Source organism: Homo sapiens, chromosome 9 (assembly GCF_000001405.40).
Source record: "Homo sapiens chromosome 9, GRCh38.p14 Primary Assembly".
Classification (NCBI taxonomy): domain Eukaryota; kingdom Metazoa; phylum Chordata; class Mammalia; order Primates; family Hominidae; genus Homo; species Homo sapiens.
This window is the reverse complement of record NC_000009.12, coordinates 43,108,039-43,128,192: the sequence shown is the minus strand read 5'-3', so window position 1 is coordinate 43,128,192 and position 20,154 is coordinate 43,108,039. Positions and strand designations below refer to the sequence as shown.

The 20,154-nt window shown below is 52.8% G+C and overlaps 2 pseudogenes across 1 annotated transcript in view; one reads left to right on the top strand and one right to left on the bottom strand.

Annotated features, from left to right (window-relative positions):
- Window positions 1–2,027, bottom strand: part of LOC102724904 (methylenetetrahydrofolate dehydrogenase (NADP+ dependent) 1 like pseudogene) — a 13,715-nt pseudogene extending 11,688 nt beyond the window's left edge. Inside the window, exon 1 of the transcript NR_160669.1 lies at window positions 1,388–2,027. The product of NR_160669.1 is annotated as a methylenetetrahydrofolate dehydrogenase (NADP+ dependent) 1 like pseudogene (transcript). The remainder of the gene's footprint in view (window positions 1–1,387) is intronic.
- Window positions 695–20,154, top strand: LOC102724922 (putative aquaporin-7-like protein 3; annotated as a pseudogene).

Below are 20,154 nucleotides of genomic sequence, written 5' to 3'. Positions count from 1 at the left end.
CAGGACAGTTCCATTCCCACACCTGAGCTTTGGACAACTGAATCCTATGCCCCTTCCCACCCATGGAACCTGGTGCCAGAAATTCCCAGGACTTACCCACCATCCACCACGCCACATAGCAAGTGTCCTCAGTGTCTGCAGACCAGAAACAACTCCCTTGTGTCTCAGCACTGGGCCACCTGCTGAAACCCCAAACTGCCTGCCCCATTGTTTGAGACCCAGTCAGGCCTTGGCTCCAAAAGTCCTCTTGGACTGCCGCTGGCCCCCAGGGCCTCTCCTGACTGCACCTCGGTCCCGGAGCTCCCACGCCGCTGGGCCCCGAGCCCCATGCCCCGATCCAGCTGTGGCTCCTTTACGGGGGCCTTGCTGGCCTTTCCTAAGGGAGGTGTTTTCCCGAGGGCAGGTGGACTGCTCCTCAGACTAGGGGCCCTCGGAGGGCCAGGCCTGGGCTTCTACCTCCTCTCGCAGGCTGGTGTCTCTCTGCAAATATGGCTCGTGTGTCCTCCTTCCTCTCAGACTGGGGGCCCCTGAGGACTGGGCCTGAGTTTCCCTCTCCCCCTTCAGAATGGGGTTCCCTGAGGACTGACCCAGGGCCTCCCGCCGTCCCCTCCATCTGGCTGTTAATCTCCAACACTTCCACCTCCAGTCCTATTCTGCACAGCTCTCCCCAGCGCTGGGGGTTCAGAGGCCTCTTCAGCCTTCCCCAGGGCTGGGGCTCAGGGAGGGCTTCCTCAGGCGCTGGCCCCAGAGTCAGGCTGCACATTGGCTTGGAGGACAGGCCTTTCCTCTGGGACTGTGAGGCCCAGAGTGCCCACCCAGAACTCCACCTCTGACCTCACAAAGGCCTGCTTCAGAACTCGGTCTCCACGGCACTGCTGGCCAGATGAGGGATGTTATTTTGGGCAGTGCATCTGGACTTGGTTCAAGTGGCACCAGCCAAATCCCTGCCTTACTGACCTCTCCCCTGGAGGAGCAGGAGCAGCACTCGAGGCCGCCCTGGGAGGGCTGAGAGGCAGGCTCTGGACTGGGGACACAGGGATAGCTGAGCCCCAGCTGGGGGTGGAAGCTGAGACAGGGACAGTCACAGAGGAACAAGATCAAGATGCGCTTTAACTGAGAAGCCCCCAAGGCAGAGGCTGAGAATCAGAAGACATTTCAGCAGAGTGAGTGGGGCTCCAGGCAGGGTGGGGATGGGACAGCCTCCTCAGTGCCCAGATCTGGAAGGGCCATTCGCTGGGTACCATACAGCGAGGAGGTGACTGAGGGATTGTTTGGGGAAGGAGCCCCGGCTGGGAGTGGAAGTCCCAGCTTTCTTGTTATGGTGCAGTCCTGTGTTGCTGTGTGACACAGGCACATACACCTTCTCTCTGGGCCTCAGTTTCCTTACCTGTAAGTTGGTTGTTGGGAGGACCAGTGGCAGAGCAGAGATGGCAGGGATGCACTGGGCTGGGCTGTCAGCAGACCATGGGGGTGGGACGAGGAGAGAGCTGAAGACCACCAGCAGTGGACCACAGCGGGAGGCGTGCAGGCAGGAGACGGGTCAGCTGCCGGCTTGCTGGAGTCATTCCTCCCACGCAGTCCCCTCCTGAGGGGCTGGAGCTGGGGCTGGAGGGTTTCAGCAGTCAGGGCTGGAGATAAGAGTCTGTGCTGGAGCTAGAGGGAACTGGGCTAGAGAATCAGGAGGACAGACAGGGTGAGGGGACTTCGGGCTACCTTCATGCTGTCAGTTAGAGATAAAGATAAGAGTACAAAGGGGAATTTTTGGGTGAGGTACACGGGTGAAATGAGTTTTCAGGGCCTCATCCTGTGTGTTCACCTTATGTGTGTGTGTGTGTGTGTGTGTGTGTGTGCATGCGTGCATGTGTGTGTGTGTGCAGGTCCTGGACAGTCACAGCTTAAGTTAGCAGCAAGAGGGCTTGAGGTTAAAGGTATAGCACGCAAATATGAGGCTGGAGCCACTGAGTAGAGGCTGAGGGCATCTCCACAGTCCAAAGCTGGGCTGCAGACAGGGAAGGTCAGCAGGAGCACTGGAGGGTCTGGCCTGGGGCTGGGGTCCTGGGGCCAGCATGGGTGGGGTGGGGCTCCAGGGTGTCGCCTCATTGGCTGAGCACCGCTCCTCCCTCCCTGTTGCTTGGCTGGGTTAAGGGAGTGGCACTAGCAGGAGCTGCCCCAGGGCTTCTCCCCTGGGGACCAAGGTCTGATGGAAGTGTGGGGCCAAGTTCTGTGTCCTCCAGCCCTAGTGACCTCTCTTTGGCTCCTCAGCATCTACAAATCTGAAGGACAAAACATGGTTCAAGCATCTGGGCACAGGCGGTAAGTACCCCACCCTCTTCTCACCCTCCAGCCCCCTGTCCTCCACCCAGCCCACTTCAGTGCCCTCCCTGCTCCATCCTCAGCCTCTCCCTTGGGGCAGCTGTCCCCCCTCGACCTCCTCCTCCCCACCCACCCACTCGTCTCTGAGGTCCCAGAAGAAAAGCATCTTCCACCTGTTGCCTGGGCTGGGTCCTGGGGTGAGGGGAGGCTCAGAAATACTTGGATGAGGGTCAAGGCATGCAGGTGGCCTTCAACTCAACTGCACTCAGCACCTCTCACCCTCTCAGGCTCAGCTGTCTTTGGGGTGAAAAAGAGCCAGTCCTTGCAATGGCCAAGGCCCTGCCTATGTAGTCCTTGTTAGCTTTCTGGCCTCCCCACTCCAGCCCCCTGCTCTCCCTCCTCCAGCCACACTGAGTTTCTTTTCTGTTTTTTTTTTCTTTTTTTTTTTTTTTTTGAGATGGAATCCAGTTCTGTTGCCCAGGCTGGAGTGCAATGGCACGATCTTGGGTCACTGCAACCTCCTTCTCCCGGGTTCAAGCGATTCTCTTGCCTCAGCCTCCTGAGTAGCTGGGATTACAGGATTACAGGCACACGCTACCATGCCCAGCTAATTAGTTTTTTTTTTTTTTTTTGTATTTTTAGTAGAAATGGGGTTTCGCCATGTTCACCAGGCTGTTCTTGAACTCCTGACCTCAGGTGATCCACCCGCCTCGGCCTCCCAAAAGGTTGGGATTACAGGTGTGAGCCACTGCACCTGGCCTCACACTGACTTTCTTTGCTTTCTTCAAACATGCTGAGAGTCCTCTGGTGACTATTCCCTCCATCTGAGAGGCTTTCTGCAGTTAACATACAGCCCACTCTCATCTCCTTCATGGCTTTGCTCCAAGGCCACCTTCTCAACAAGGATTACTCTGACTGCCCTATTTGAAATCACACCCCATCTCCAGCCCCTGCACTCCCAATTCCCCTCCCCTTGCTCTGTTTTTTTCCATAGGAGCTGGTACCTTCGCTTATACAAAGGTACTTACTTATTACATTTCATTGCTGTCAGCTCCACACAAGCAGGGATATTTGCCTGTTGTACACTTGGACGGAGAGAATGAATAGTGCCCCTCTGTTGACATCATTGCCTCTAGCCTACATCTCTTTCCAGGGCTTTAGATCCTGTTTCTAGAGACCCACTTGTGTCTCACAGGCAACTCAGCTCCTAGATGGAAACAGCTTCCTCCGCCCCCCACAAGTCCACTCCTCCTGTGCTCTTGGCTCAGTCAGGGGTCCCCTTATCTTCAGTTGCTCAAGCCAGAAGTCAAGGTCATGTCCTTGATACTTCCCTCTCCCCCATGCCTCACATCCAGTCACCAATCTCCTAAAATATCTAGAATGTGCACAGCTTCCACCATTCTTTCTACCACCACCCTACTCCTCCATGGCCATGTCAGGCCACCACCCGCCCATTCTTCAAAACTCCCTTCAGGCCTCACCTCCCATGCCTCCCCTGAGTTCCCCCAGTCCCAGGCTGCTTCTCTCTGGTGGTGTTGCCATTACCCATCTCTTCTATTAAACAGAATGACCCAAGAGTGGAGAGTGGGTTTTGACTTTGTATCCCTGGTGCTTGACTCATAAGTAGGTGCTCAACAAAAATTTTTTCTTTTTTTGAGATGGAGTCTTGTTCTGTTGCCCATGCTGGAGTGCAGTGGCATGATCTCGGCTCACTGCAACTTCTGCTTCTTGGGCTCAAGCAATTCTCACATCTCAGCCCCCACCCCAGCTGGTATTACAGGCGCCTGCCACCACGACCAGCTAATTTTTTTTTTTATTTTTAGTGGAAATGGGGTTCTGCCATGTTGGCCAGGCTGGTCTTGAACTCCTGACCTCAAGTGATCCACCTGCCTCGGCCTCCTGAAGTGTTGGGATTACAGGCATGAGTCACCATGCCTGGCCAACAAATGTTTGTTGAATGAAGAAATGTTGGTTAGCAGGTTGAATTGTTGGCTCGTGGTTAGTTGGATAGTTTATGGTTGACTGGTTGATTAGATAATTCAATGAGTTAATAGCTGGTTAACAGGAGAATCAGTTAGTTGGTTTTTGATAGGTTAGTCAAAGGGTTAGTAAGCCACCGGGCATAGTGGCTCATGCCTGAAATCCCTGCACCTTGGGAGGCTGAGGCTGGAGGATTGCTTGAGTCCAGGAGTTTGGGACCAGCTTGGGTAACATGGCAAAACCCCATCTCTACAAAAAATAGGAAAAAATAGCCGGTCAAGGTGGCATGCTCCTGTAGTCCCAACTACTTGGGAGGCTGAGGTGGGAGGATCACTTGAACCCTGGGAAGTCTAGGCTTCAGTGAGCTGTGACTGTGCCACTGCACTTCAGCCTGGGTGACAGAGTGAGACCCTGTCTCAAAAAAAAAAAAAAAAAAAAAAAGAAAAGAAAAAGAAAAGAAACAGGCATTAGTGAGTTGTTAGCTATTTAGTTCCTTGGTTAACAGATAACTTAGGGGATCTGGTTGGCTGTCAGTTTCTTGCTTTGTAGGCTGGCTTTCTTGGGCCCCTCTTCTTAGTCTGTACCCTCTCCTTGAGCTCTCTCATCTATGCCCATGGCTCAGATGACCATCTGTGATTTGCTGTCCTCCAAATGTGTCTGTAAGTGAGACCACATGACCAGCTGCCTCCTCACTGGCCATCCCACCCAAGTGTCTAGCGGGCTCCTCACACTCAACATGTCCAGAAAGGGCCTCCTTGTCCATTCTTCCACAGCTTCTCTGCTGTGCCCCACGCTAGTCATTCCGCTGCCCTAGCCAGGACCTGAGGGCATCGCTGAGCTGCCCCGCTCCCTTCCCTCTCTAACCAAACACCAAGCCTGTCAGCTTGACTGTGCTCTTGTGGCCATTGGCACTGCCATCTCTGTGGCTCAGGCTGCCACCACTTCTCCACCCATCTGTGGAGAAGCTGATGCTCACCCTGCCTCCACTCCACTTCCTCCATCCTGGCCTCCACAGGGGAGGCAGCTCTCCTGCTGAAATCCTCCACTTGGCCCATGGCCCTCTGGTAGAGTTCAGACTCCCTAATGTGGGCCATGAGGCCTTCTGCCACCTGGCCCTGGCCCCTCTCTGCCCATCTCATGCCACCTCCACTCCTCCGTGGCCAGCCCATTCCTGCACATTGGATACTGTCTTAGTTGCAGGCCTTTGCACATGCCAGTCCTACACCCAGAGTGATCCCTGCCTCCCTGGAGGCTCCTTTACCCTCCAGCCTTCTTTTCTTGACCTAAATTTCCCTTTCTCTGGGAGCCTCCTACCCCCTCCTCTAGGCCATTCACTTCCTCCACATGCCCCACGGTGCCCACTCTTTCAGCTGGGGCAATGCTCATCACACTGCATAGTAATTGCTCAATTGATTGCTTTTCTTCCCACGGGCTGGATTGTACCAGTGTCCTTTACTGAAGTGACTGAACATTCTAGGCACAGTAGATTCAAGAAATCTTGAGTTCATTGGCTGGTTGGTGGTTATCTGTTGCTTACTGTGTCTTGCCTGCTGTGTGGTGATGAGGAAGGAGCCAGGCTTCCAGGATTCTCTTGGTGTTCTTGTATTTCTGCTCTGTCCACTTCTCTCTCCTCTTCTGTGGTTACCTCCAGCATGGGAGGTGGGGTTGGATGGGAGCCAGTGGAGGGTCACCTCACCCTGCTAGGGAGAGCAGCAGTATTCCTCAGGGCTCCTAAATTCCCCTGACCTCACAGCAGCAAAAAGTAAGCAGAGGGAATGAGAGACGTCCAGGCATGGAATAAAACATCTTCCACTTTTCAGCTGAGACCCTCTGTTCATAGCTCACCCAGCCCAGTCCTTGCTCTATTCCTTACCCCAGAGAAACAAAACCAGGGATGAGTAGATGGAGGGGGATGCAGAGTTGTGCGGATATTCCACTGGCCCCATCCAACTCCAGCTCCCATGTAGCATCGTATAGGGGTCTCATTATCACATGACCAGCCTCCTCAGCCCTGAAGAAGAGACCCTACCAATGCAAGCAGCAGCCCAAAGACAGTCCTGGGAAGGTACCATAGAGGCAGGGGAGAGGTAGACAGAGCAGGGAGCCAAGAACACCAAGAGAATCCTGGAAGCCTGGCTCCTTTCTCATCAGCACAGAGCAGGCAACAACCAGCCAAGGAACCAAAGATTTATTGAATCTACTGTGCCTACTATGTTCAGGCACTGCAGTGAAGCAAACTGGTATGATCCCAGCCCTTAGGAAGAAAAACCGTTAATTAATTAAGCTTTTTTTTTTTTTTTTTTTTTTTTTGAGACAGGGTGTCGCTCTGTCACCCACGCTGGAGTGCAGTGGTGTGATCTCAGCTCACTGCAACCTCTGCCTTCTGGGCTCAGGCAATCCTCTCACATCAGCCTCTCCATTAGCTGGGACCACAGGCGTACACCACAACACCTGACTAATTTTTGTATTTTTTTTTTTTGTAGAGATGAGGTTTTGTCATACTGCCCAGGCTGGTCTTGAACTCCTGGGCTCAAGCGATCAGCTCGCCTCGGCAAGTGCTGGGATTACAGGCGTGAGACACTGTGCCTGGCCTAACTGAGCAATTACTATGCAGTGTGATGAGCATTGCCCCAGCTGAAAGAGTGGGCACCGTGTGGCATGTGGAAGAAGTGAATGGCCTAGAGGAGAGGGTAGGAGGCTCTCCCAGAGAAAGGGAAATTTAGGTCAAGAAAAGAAGGCTGGCGGGTAAAGGAGCCTCTGGGGAGGCAGGGGACCATTCTCGGTGTAGGACTGGCATGTGCAAAGGCCTGCAGCTAAGGCAGTACGTGATGTGCAAGGATGGGCTGGCCAGAGGAGTTGAGGGGTTGGTGTCAGCTTCCGGGCATGCAGACAGTGAGATAGCAGAGTGACTAAGGCCATACTTAGAGGTATCTGTATCCCTCTTCTTCCTCTTTTTTTTTTTTTTTTTTTTGAGATGGAGTCTCGCTCTTGTTGCCCAGGCTGGAGTGCAGTGGCAAGATCTCGGCTCACCACAACCTCCATCTCCCATGTTCAAGTGATTCTCCTGCCTCAGCCTCCGAAGTAGCTGGGATTACAAGCATGCGCCACCATGCCTGGCTAATTTTGTATTTTTTAGTAGAGATGGGGTTTCTCTATGTTGGTCAGGCTGGTCTCGAACTCCCGACCTCAGGTGATCTGCCCACCTTGGCCTCCCAAAGTGCTGGGATTATAGGCGTGAGCTACCGGGCCCAGCCCCTCTTCTTCCTCTTTATCCTCCAGTCCCACCCCGCCACCTTCCCCAAACTCCAGTCCTATACCTCTCCCTATACGCAGATTTGGGACATGTTACTCACCTGTTTCATCTACCTTTCCATCTAACCGTGCACTTAACTAAATATAAATCAAGTGCCAGGCCCTTTGGGAAGCTCTGAGGATCTAGTTGGGAGTAAGACAGATTCCCCAGTTTTCACTCATTCAACAAATACTTATTGCACATCTACTATGTGCCTGGCATGGTGCTGGGCACTGAAGATACACCAGGAAGTAGATCCAGTCCTTCCTTTTCTCCCTCCCTCTCTCTTGGTCATTCATTCATTCACTCACTCTCTCACAAACCTCTGTTTGCACTGACCTGGTTGCACAGCCTGGTGCATTTTGCTGACCCCTTCATTTTTGACAGAACCTGGCGCATGTTTCAGCACTCAGTGCTGTTTACAGAGCTAAGCAGCAGACTTTGTCACACCTCATGCTGTTTGTAGAGTGCCTCACTGTTGCCAGGCCCTGGCCTGTGACCCCAAAGTTCTGGCTCTAGCAGATAGGCGGACAGACAGATGGACAGACATAGACTACTGAGCTCTACTTTCCAGCCTGCTCTCTCCCACCCTGCTTTTTCCCAGAGGCTTGTTGGCACCGTGGATTGCACTTTCAGCTCCCCACCTGCCCGTCTGCAAAGTGGCCTCATTGGTGTGCCATTTTTACTGGTCCAGTCCCAACTACAAGGGGCATGGCTTGGCCATCTACCCCAGTTCCTCTCCATGTCCCCATGGCTCTCAAGTGTCTCCAATTCCAGCTGTCCCAGCTGCTCCAGGCAAGAGGAGGTGTGTGTGGCAAGTCTGCTGGGTTACCTATTAACTCAGCTGTGAGTTGAAGAGCCGATGGGCAGCAGGCAGACTTGAGTCTCCTTACTGTCCATGGGCTCGGGCCACTGTATCAGGTCCACCCGTGGCTCCAAAATGGTCTCCTGGTCCGTGATAGCAAAGATCCAGGAAATATGGTGCGAGGAAGATGAGAGGAAGATGGAGCGAGAGTTCCTGGCTGAGTTCATGAGCACATATGTCATGATGGTGAGTGGGTGGGCAGCACGAAGTGAGTGGGGCTCTGCCATGGCCTTCCATGACCCCCTCCCCATTCTGACCCCATGGGTCACATTGTCCATTCCTTGCCTCTGAGCTGGGAGCCTGGGGAAGCAGCGAGGAAAGTAAGGAGGGGGGGCTTTCTCATCAAGTCTTTTTGGACAGAAAGGGCTCATAATATGTGGGGGTCAAATGAAATCATGCACTGGGGTATCCGGGGCAAGGCTGGAAATGGGGAGAAGGGAAACCCAGAGTAAAGAGATTAAAGAGGCCCAGGTGCAGTGGCTCATGCCTGTAATTCCAGCACTTTGGGAGGCTTAGGCAAGTGGATCACCTGAGGTCAGGAGTTCGAAACCAACCTGGCCAACATGGTGAAACCCCATCTCTACTAAAAATACAAAAATTAGCTGGGCATGGTTGCAGACACCTGTAATATCAGTTATTCAGGAGGCTGAGGCAGGAGAATCACTTGAGCCCAGGAGGTGGAGGTTGCAGTGAGCTGAGATCACACCATTGCACTCCAGCCTTGGTGACAGGAGCAAAACTCTGTCTCAAAAAAAAAGAAAAAAAAGAAAAAAAAAAGAGAGAGAGATTGAAGAGAAACTTGAAGATCAGGCTCTGATAATGAATCCAGAGGGCAATGGGCGATGTTGAAGGCTGGCAAGCAGGGGAGTGACATGATCAGATTTGGATTTTAAAGGTAATTTTGGGTGCAGTGTGGAGCATAAGCAGGACAGGCAAGGCTGGCAAGAAGGAACCAGTTAAGAGGCTGTTTTTGATCTGGGACAGAGAGGGTGATGACTGATCTGGGGTTGGAGAAGAAAGCACATGTTTGAGAGGGCTGTGGAAGACAGAATCGGGGAGACTCTGCCAACAGAACATGTGGGCAAAGCGCCGATGAGCTGTTCTGGAGCACGGGACCCAGCACAGGGTGAGAGGCAAGATGCCTGTGGGGAAATCCAGGAGATAGTTAAACACAGGCAAGGGGCTGGAGCTCAGGAGAGGCTTGGTCTGGAAGGAAAAAGTTGAAGTTCATCACAACACAGGTGGTGGTTGTCAACACTGTCTAGAAGGAGTGTACAGAAAGAGAAAAGGATGGTTTGAGGACAGAGCCCTGAGGAATGAAGAGGGGCACACAAAGGAGCCTGAGAAGGAATGGTCAGAGAGGTGGGAGGAGAACCAGAGCCGACTGCGTGACAGAGGGGGCAGTGGTTCCACCAGGAAGAAGCCGTCAGCGGCATGGGCAGCGGCAGATGGGCCACACGAGGTGAGCACTGGCAAGGGGCCTTAGGGTTTGCCAACGTGGAGGTTGCTGGTAACCTTGACAAGGGCTCTTCTTTAGTGTGTGATTGGGACAGAATCCAGACTGCAGGCAGGATGTGAGGTTGCTCCCTCTCCACCTGCTTCAGCCCTGCCACTTACCCCAGTGAGCCTCTGCCCTTAACATGACTGTAGCCATGTTTATTGCATCTTATGCAGGGTCCAGGGTCTAGAAAAAGAAGGGGCAGCCTCTGGGAAGGGAGGCAAAGGCAGCCAGGTGCATGCTAGAGGAAGGTGGGGTGAGAGAGGCTGTTTGTGTGTGTGGTGGGGCCCATGGAGCTCAAGGGAGAGAGGAAATTGGAACACCAGGGTTCTTAGCCTGACCCTGCCACTGAGTGACCAGTTGCCTTGGGCAGGTCTCTCCCTGGCTTAAAGCCTGACTTCTCACTTATATCGTGTAGAATTAGGCCTTCGTGGGCTTTGGAGCTGTGTTTGAATCCTAGCTCTGTTATCTTCTAGCTGTGCGACTATCCACAAGTATCTTAACTGTTCACAAATTTAGCTTTCTTGTTTTTGAGACAGGGTCTCACTCTGTCTCCTAGGATGGAGTGCAGTGGTACGATCTCAGCTCACTGTAGCCCCCACCTCCCATACTCAAGTGACTCTCTTGCCTCAGCCTCTTGAGTAGCTGGGACTACAGGCACGTGCCACTGTGCTCAGCTAATTTTTCTATTTTTAGTAGAGATGGGGTTTCACCATGTTGGCCAGACTGGTCTCAAACTCCCGAATTCAGGTGACCTTCCTGCCTCGGCCTCCCAAAGTGCTGGGATTGCTGGCGTGAGTCACCTCGCCCGGCCCACAACTTTAGCTTCCTTATTTGTTAACAGGAGGACTTGTGTGAAGAAGGCCAAGTCTCAGCACCCAGTGTGGTACCCATGTATTGGTCCCTTGTTATTACGACGGGTGCTCTAGCTGCTGTCTCCTCTCTGTCTCTGGCCCTCCCCTACTCCTCTCTTACCTCCCCACCTGCTTTGGCTCCTGAGCTGTGAGGACAGCAGTTGGATCCTGTCCCTCCTTAATCCAGGGCAAAGTAATTCACTTACCACAAGACATTCCAGCCCCATGAGGGCTGTTAACCCTTGGAACCTCGGAGGCAGGAGGGTGCATCCTCTGAGAGCTGTTAGGGAAATAGGCACCGCCCACATGCTTGATACCTGCCCACATCTGTGTTCCTCCTCCTTTTGTTGAGATTTTCATTGATCACCTAATGCATCCCGGGCTCTGTGATGCTAAGCCCCTTACGTGCAGCATCTTCCCAAATCCTCACAATAGCCCTGTGAAGCAGGTACTATTATTATCCCAGTTTCACAGATGGGAAAACTGAGGCTCCTTGAGACTAAGCCTTTTGCCCAAGGTCACACTTTAAGTCAAGATTAAATCCAGTGCAGTCTAATATCACAGTCTTTTTTGTTTTTTTTTTTTCAGATACAGTCCTGCTTTGTCGCAGTGGTGCAATCTCGGCTCACTGCAACCTCTACCTCCCGGGTTCAAGCGATTCTTGCGTCTCAGCCTCTGGAGTAGCTGGAATTACAGGTGCATGCCACCATGCCCAGCCAATTTTTGTATTTTTAGGAAAGACAAGGTTTCACCATGTTGTCAAGGCTGGTCTTGAACTCCTGACTTCAAGTGATCCTCCCACCTCGGCCTCCCAAAGTGCTGGGATTACAGGCATGAGTCACCGTGCCCAGCCCAATATCACAGTCTTGACCCTTAACCTCTATGCTCTGTACCTTAGCTTAAATATTGCCAGCTTTTAAAGACTGGCTTGTTAATGCTCCCCCAGCCAGGGTAAGGTCCTCACTTTCAGGTAGTTCAAGATGCCTCTCTCGGCCTCAGTTTCCCCACTTATAGAGTGGGAGAAAAATTCTTGCTGTGCAGATTTGTTGTGAGGATTGAAGACAGTAGCACTTGTAAAAGAACTTTGTGAGGCGTAAGCCTATATCGGATATTGTGGTGTTGTTATTTTTAGTTGCCAGGCTGTGCCAAGAAGTGAGGGCTTTTTTTTTCTTTTTTTTTTTGTAAATATATATATAGGAATCTCAGTGAGTCACCAGGGTGAATGTTTTGCCAAAAAAGCTAGTGTGACCTTGGCCCCATTTATTGCAGCCAGGACAAGGGAAGTGGACTGATCTGTGTTGCAGCTTCCAGGTGTGTTGCCCTTGGAGCTGGCCTCCTGGCTGTGGGGGAGAGTTGGATGGGCTAGGCCACATTCACTGATCAGGGAGAGGAGGGGCTGGAGCCATCCGGGCCCTGGAAAACCAGCCATACACGTGAGACACGGGGCAAGGGTTGTAGATCACATACTACGGGGGCCAAGAGAGCGGCCACTCAGGGCGGTGGGGACTTTGGCTGGCTGCAGAGTGCCAATCTGTGCAAGGCTGTATAGCTGCTGCCACTCCAGCTGACTGTTGCCATGGAGGGTGGAATGCAGGCCAGTGTTGCCTGAGCTGCTCATTTTTCAAGAGAGATGGAAACTTCTGTTCTTCAAAACCAAGTTATCTAAACAGAATCTGTGCGCTGGATGAATTAGGTGCATGAGTTGCCAGTTGGCAACCCTGACACAAGGAATCATGTGGGGTTCATTCACTCACCCAGTATTTTATTTTATTTATTTTATTTTTTTGAGAGAGTCTCACCCTGTTGCCCAGGCTGGAGTGCAGTGGTGTGATCTCAGCTCACTGCTCTGCCTCCCGGGTTCAAGTGATTCTCCTGCCTCAGCCTCCCGAGTAGCTGGGATTACAGGCATGTGCCACCACACCTGGCTAATTTTTTGTATCTTTAGTAGAGACGGGGTTTCACCATGTTGGCTAAGCAGGTCTCGAACTCCTGACCTCATGATCGGCCTGCCTCAGTCTCCCAAAGTGCTGGGATTACAGGCGTGAGCCACCATGCCCGGCCTATGCTCATCCAGTATTTTTAGCACATGGTATTGGAATGCAGGAAAGGCCATGGGGGCCCCTCTGTTTTCAGACCCTCCATGCCTCCTCCAGTCCCTCTACCTCTTGACCCTGCCAGCCTGTCAACCTGTCCTGACCTCACTCCCCCCTGCACCCCCATCTGTTCCTGTCCTCTCCTGCTGTATCTTATCCTGGATCTGAAGCCAGCCCAGCTCTGGGCTCCCCTGCTTCTGTCCTGGGGCTTCTGAGGGACCCAGTGGGCTCTGCTCAGCTGCCTCTCCCCCACCATATCTGGGCTATTTCACATTTTCTCAGACTTCCCCAAAGCTGCTCTGTACTCTGACTTTTTTTTTTTTTTTTAAATCAGCAAATGGCTTGATCTGCTGCTTGATAGGTAAAATAATCAACACTTCCTATGTTCAGCTCACCCTCTTGTCCCTCTTACCACCAGACCCATTAACCACCCGTGTATCCACATATCACCCCTTGGCTGGGGCGGGGTCCTCTCCTTCCTGGAGGACACCTCCACTTCTGCACCAATCCAGCTGTCCAGCCTATTCAGGTACTTTACTCTGTCCTTTTTCTCTGTCCTTTATCTTCAGCCCATCCCTCTCTCAGCCTATAAACATACTGAAGTTTCTCCACTGAAAACAACACAAAATGAAACATCCTTCCCTTCACCCTGTCAGCCCCTTCACGGGATCATGTTCTCTCTTCCCCGCTCCTCAGGCGAGTTCTCGAAGAGGAGTCTACACTGGTGCCTTTCAACTCTTTTTTTTTCTTTTTTTTTTCTTTTTTTGAGATGGAGTCTTGCTCTGTCACCCAGGCTGGAGTGCAGTGGTGTGATCTTGGATCACTGCAAGCTCCACCTCCTGGGTTCAAGCAATTCTCCTGTCTCAGCCTCCTGAGTAGCTGGGATTACAGGCAAGCACCACCACGCCTGGCTAATTTTTGTATTATTAGTAGAGACGGGGTTTTGTCATGCTGGTCTTGAACTCCTGACCTAAAGTGATCCATCCACCTCGGCCTCCCAAAGTGCTGGGATTACAGGCATGAGCCACTGCACCCGGCCTGGTCTGCCTTCTTACCCTGTACCCTCTCCTGGGGCCTTCTCCTCTGTCGGCTTTGACTTCGGCCCTTATGTCTACAATTCTTCAGGTTTTCTCCTTTATCAACTCTAGAACAGAGTTCTCCAGGGGAAATACAATACAAGCCATCTGTATAATTTAAATTTTTCTAGTATCCACATTAAAAAGGTAAAAAGCAACAGGTGAAATTAATTTTAATAATTAACCTACATAGCAAAAATCCTATTTCAAGATGCAATCAATGTAAAATTATTAGGATATTCTGGCCAGGCATGGTGGCTCACACCTGTAATCCCAGCACTCTGGGAGGCTGAGGTGAGAGGATTGCTTAAGGCCAGGAGCTCGAGACCAGCCCGGGCAACATAGTGAAACCTCATCTCTACACAAAATAAATTGAAAAACTTAGCTGGGATAGGGCTCAATGGCTCATGCCTGTAATCCCAGCACTTTGGGAGGCCAAGGCAGGCTGATCATCTGAGGTCAGGTGTTTGAGACCAGTCTGGCCAACATCGTGAAACCCTGTCTCTACTAAAAATACAAAAAAATAGTTGGGCATGGTGGCATGCACCTATAATCTCAACTACTCGGGAGGCTAAGGCAGGAGAATCACTTGAACCCGGGAGTTGGAGGTTGCAGTGAGCCGAGATTGCGCCATTGCACTCCGGCTTCGGCGACAGAGCAAGACTGTCTCAAAAAAAAAAAAAAAAAAATTGGCTGCGTGCCGAGGCACATGCCCATAGTCCCAACTACTTGAGAGGCTGAGGTGGGAGGATCACTTGAGCCCAGGAGATGGAGGCTGCAATGAGCCCTGATCATGTCACTGCACTCCAGCCTGGGTGATAGAGCAAAACCCTATCTCAAGCATCAAACAAACAAACAAATAAAACAGAGGCACAAGAAAGCAAGGCATGCATGGAGCAGCGCAGTTGTTTGGTTTGAGGCCATCTGTCACAGGTAACTGCCTGGATTTAATCCTGGCTCACCATGTACAGGCTGTGTGACCTTGGACAAGCCATTCAAGTTCTCTAAGCTTCAGATTACCCATCTGTCAAGTGGGGGAGAATAATAGTGCTTAACTATCATTTGCAACATCTGAGTTTCTGGCTTGGCCAACGGGGATGGGGAACATAGAGTGAGGAGCAGGTGTGCTGTGAGATGGCGAACCTTCATCAGAGCCTGAGACGCCCGCGGAACACCAGGAGAGTTGCAGTGGGGATTTGCAAATAGGCATCTGGCTCCCCCACGGAGATGATGGGAATTTCAGTGCATCAGGCATAGATGAGACTGTCTACGTGGTAAAACCATGCCTGAAAAGACCTTTGGAAAATCAGGAGGCTGCTGGAGCCCTTGGAGAGAGCTTTGGTGTCTGTGACATGTGGAAGTGGAAGCCAGATTGAGGAGGGGGTGCGAGGGAAGGGGTGAAGCAGCTGGCCAGTGTGTTCTCTCCTGCAGCCTGACTGAAACAGGGAGGGGGCAACCAGGAACCCACAGCTGGAGAAGGACACTGGGCAGGGGTGGGACAGTTTGCTGGGAAGGATGAGACTCCAGTGTGTGGGAGCCGATCAATGGGAGGATGGAAGGTATGGGGGAGACGGAGGCCTCTGCAGAGGGAGAGGATAGCACAGGAGCCAGGGCTGAAGGGAACAGTGGCTCTAGACTGAGGGTAATGGGCCTGAAGGTAGGCCCCTTCCCCTGTAAAGGCAGCATTATCTGAGGAGCCGTGAGGGATGGGCAAGAAGCAGCAGCTTGGGAATGCCGCCTGAGGTCAGTGGAAATGAAGCTGAGGGCAAGACAGTTAGGGCCCCACTGTTCCAGCATTGTGGGAATTGCGGTGGAGTGTGTGCATGTGTAGGGAGGGGTTCCTGGCAGAGTCAGGCATGGATGGATTTGGGGGTCCCTTGAAGAAACTTCCTTCAGGTCAGCCTGAAGTGTGAGGGACTCTGAGGGGGTGCAATGCATGCCAGCCATCCCCTCCTTGCAGCCCTGCCTTACCCCAAAACTTCAGGTGGGCCTGGGGCTGAGGTGCTTGGATGTTTGTAGTAAGAGCTTCTAACTCTGCCGCTCCACCCGGCTCTCAGTGGCTCAGGTCTGAGAGGCCTCAGCAGGGGCAAGGAGAGGAGGCAGTGAGGAGGGAAGGCTCTGGAGGAAGAGGGCATGGCAGAGGGTCTTCGAGGCAACGCCAGGGAGGCCCAGGGCATGGGGGTGAGGAGCTAGAACTGAGCTCTGAGCCCTCCTCTGAGGTTGGGGCTTCTGGGCAGGCAGCCCCCTTAGAGGCCCTCCCTTGTAGGTATTCGGCCTTGGTTCCGTGGCCCATATGCTTCTAAATAAAACATTTGGGAGCTACCTTGGTGTCAACTTGGGTTTTGGCTTCGGAGTCACCATGGGAGTGCACGTGGCAGGCCGCATCTCTGGTGAGTGAGCCCAGGCCCTGCCGGACCGGGCAAGACCAGGTGTCCCCAACAGGCTCTTTCCTGCCTGCCTCAGCCAGCTCCTTTGCCAGCACAGCCAGTGCCTCAGCCTGGCCACCGGGCGGGAGGAAGTCTCCTCTGAAGCCCGTGCCTATGACGTGTCTGCCCCAGATTCTTCCTGGCCCCCCCGACCTACCATTTTCACTGGCTGGGTGATCTTAGGCAAGCCATCGCCTTCTGTGTTCCTCAGTTTCCTTAAGAGTGAAACGAAGATGGTGGCCCCTGCCTCACGGGGTGGTTGTGAGGGCTCAAGGAGAGAACTCTGTCACGGAGCATGCTGTCATACACACTAGCCATCGTTGTTCTCATACTGTTTGTCACTGTTGTTTGTTCTGCTCTCACTCCCTGACACACTTGCCTGCTGCCCGCAGGAGCCCACATGAACGCAGCTGTGAGCTTCACTAACTGTGCACTGGGCCGTGTGCCCTGGAGGAAGTTTCCAGTCTATGTGCTGGGGCAGTTCCTGGGCTCCTTCCTGGCGGCTGCCACCATCTACAGACTCTTCTACAGTGAGCGTCCTGCCCGGGTGTCCGCCTCTGGCCTCAACTGCCTGTTATGAAATATGGGCAGATTGGACCTCAGTGTCCTGATTTGTAAAAAATAGCTGGGAGAAAAAAGGCTTGGAGGTCTCCCACCCTCTAACCTATAACCTCATTTCTGGGACCCCGGTGGGGCTTAGTTGGGGGCAGGTTCGCATGATAGTCTGTGTCTCCACAGTGGCCATTCTCCACTTTTCGGGTGGAGAGCTGATGGTGACCGGTCCCGTTGCTACAGCTGGCATTTTTGCCACCTACCTTCCTGATCACATGACATTGTGGCGGGGCTTCCTGAATGAGGTCAGTGGTCCAGGATGAGTACCCCTCCCCCTGCCCTCCACCCCTCAGGACGGAGCCAGCAGGGAGTCCCTCCGGATAGACAGGACAAGAACTCTGGATGGAGACTGTACCAAGATGTGTCTCTGCTGGTGGGCTTGGGTCTGGGGCACTGCCGAGGTCCTGTGGCTTGGGGAGGGGCCCAGGTGAGCTGCCACAGCATCTGCTCCTCAGGAGTGGCTGACCGGGATGCTCCAGCTGTGTCTCTTCGCCATCACGGACCGGGAGAAAAACCCAGCACTGCCAGGAACACACGCGCTGGTGATAGGCATCCTCGTGGTCATCATCAGGGTGTCCCATGGCATGAACACAGGATATGCCATCAATCCATCCCGGGACCTGCCCCCCCCGCATCTTCACCTTCATTGCTGGTTGGGGCAAACAGGTCTTCAGGTACTTCCCCTGCCCAGGCCCATTCCTTTGAGATTTTCTGTGGGGCCCCTGTGTGTTGAGGTGTGGGGGGTGATGTGAGGGGCAGCACAGGAGGGTCCTGCAGAGCCCCCAGGTGGCCTGGGGAGCAGGAGTGAGTCCCAACATTTCCCCAGGCCAGTACAGATACAGATCCTGCACCTGCACTGAGTGTCAACCCTGTCCCTGAATCGGGCTGAGGCTGACCAGGGCCCCGGGTTGGGGGTGTTTCCTGGGTTAGCCTGAGGATGACTCCTCTGCTCAACCAGTCTTGGCCCGAGGTGGATGAGGGTGCTGTCCTGGGCATCAGCCCCCTCAGCTGGCCTCTGCCTCTTGCCTGCAGCAATGGGGAGAACTTGTGGTGGGTGCCAGTGGTGGCACCACTTCTGGGTGCCTCTCTAGGTGGCATCATCTACCTGGTCTTCATTGGCTCCACCATCCCACGGGAGCCACTGAAATTGGAGGACTCTGTGGCATATGAAGACCATGGGATAACTGTATTGCCCAAGATGGGATCTCATGAACCCATGATCTCTCCCCTTACCCTCATCTCTATGAGCCCTGCCAACAGATCTTCAGTCCACCCTGCCCCACCCTTACATGAATCCATGGCCCTAGAGCACTTCTAAGCAGAGATTATTTGTGATCCCATCCCTTCCCCAATAAAGAGAAGCTTGTCCCACAGCAGTACCCCCACTTCCTGGGGGCCTCCTGTGGTTGGGCTTCCCTCCTGGGTTCTTCCAGGAGCTCTAGGGCTATGTCTTAGCCCAAGGTGTAGAGGTGAGGCACCTCAAGTCTTTCATGCCCTGGGAACTGGGGTGCCCCAGGGGGAGAATGGGGAAGAACTGACCTGCGCCCTCAGTAGGAACAAGGTAAGATGAAAGAATGACAGAAACAGAATGAGGGATTTTCAGGCAAGGGGGAAGGAAGGGCGGTTTTGGTGAAAGGACTGTAGCTGACTGATGGGGGGTTGGCTTTGGAAATACTTTGAGGGGATCCTGAGATTGGACTCTAGACTCTCCCCTGGTTGTTCACTTCCCCGAGTTCTGGCCGGTTCTTGGACCAGACAAGGCATGGCCCAAGAAGGTAGATCAGAATTTTTTAGCCTTTTTTTCATTAGTGCCTTCCCTAGTATTCTTCCAGATTTTTTTTTCTTAATCACATGAAATTTTAATACCACAGATATACTATACATCTGTTTATGTTCTGTATATGTTCTGTGCTTTATACGTAAAAAAGAGTAAGTTTTTTTTCACCTCCCCTTTTAAGAATCAGTTTTAATTCCCTTGAGAATGCTTGTTATAGATTGAAGGCTGGTAAGGGGTTGGGCTCCTCTTTCTTCTTCCTGGTGCCAGAGTGCTCCCACATGAAGGAATAGGAAAGGAAGATGCAAAGAGGGAAATCCTTCGAACACATGAAGACACAGGAAGAGGCCTCTTAGGGCTCCAAGGGCTCCAGGGAAGCAGCTGCAGAGGTTGGGTGGGGTGAGGGGCCAGGATCCACTGACCCTGGGGCCAGGCAGGAATCACTCTGTTGCCTGGGGCTCAGAAGGCAGTATCACCCATGGTTCCTGTCATTGCTCATGTATTTTGCCTTTCAACAATTATTGTCCACCTACTGTGTGCAGGCCCTGCCTGGACACTGGGGATGCACAGTGGATGCACTGGGCTCTGCCTTTGAGGGTTGCAGTTTAATGGGTGACAGGTAATTATAAGGAAGAAGGTGAGTGCAGAGTGGGAGGCTTGGAGGCTGTGGGGCTTGGGGTGGGGGAGCTCACATCCAGCCTCTGGGCCAAGGCCAGGAGGCTTCCCAGAGGAGGAGACAGAGCAGGGTATTGTGGTGGGGGGTGTCCTTTTTGGGTCTGGGATCTGCACTTTACAGTTTGAGGGGATGAGCAGAGGAGGCTGGGCTTCATTCTGGAGATGGGGACATGGTGAGGTGAGGTTTAGAAAGCACACCTGAGCCGCAGTGTGTAGGATGCTGGAAATGGTGGAGATGGGCCTGCAAAGAGAGTGCTGGGAAGTGATGACCCAGGAGCAGCAGCCGGGCACCTAACAATGGGTCAGCACCGTGGGCGTGGAGACAAGGGCCGGGATTGATCAATACCCAAGAAGTACAATGTACAGGACTTGGGCTCCATTTGGATGGAGTGGGTGAGGGAGGAGTCAGAAATGGCTTCCGGTTTCCAGCTTGGGCCTGGGGATTGGAGATGTCCCCACTGAGAGTAGGGCACAAGTGAGGAAATGGTTTGGAGAGGAAGATGATAAGTTACATCATGGATGTGCTGAGTCTGAGTTGCCTATGGGACTTGGAATGGGGGGTGGCAAAAGGTGTGTGATCTTGAGCAAGATATTCAACTCTTCTGGGCCTTGGGCTTCTCATTTGTAAAACGGTGATAAGAATATTACTTCCCATTTGTGTTGCTGTGAATATTAAATGCGCTACCACATGTAAAA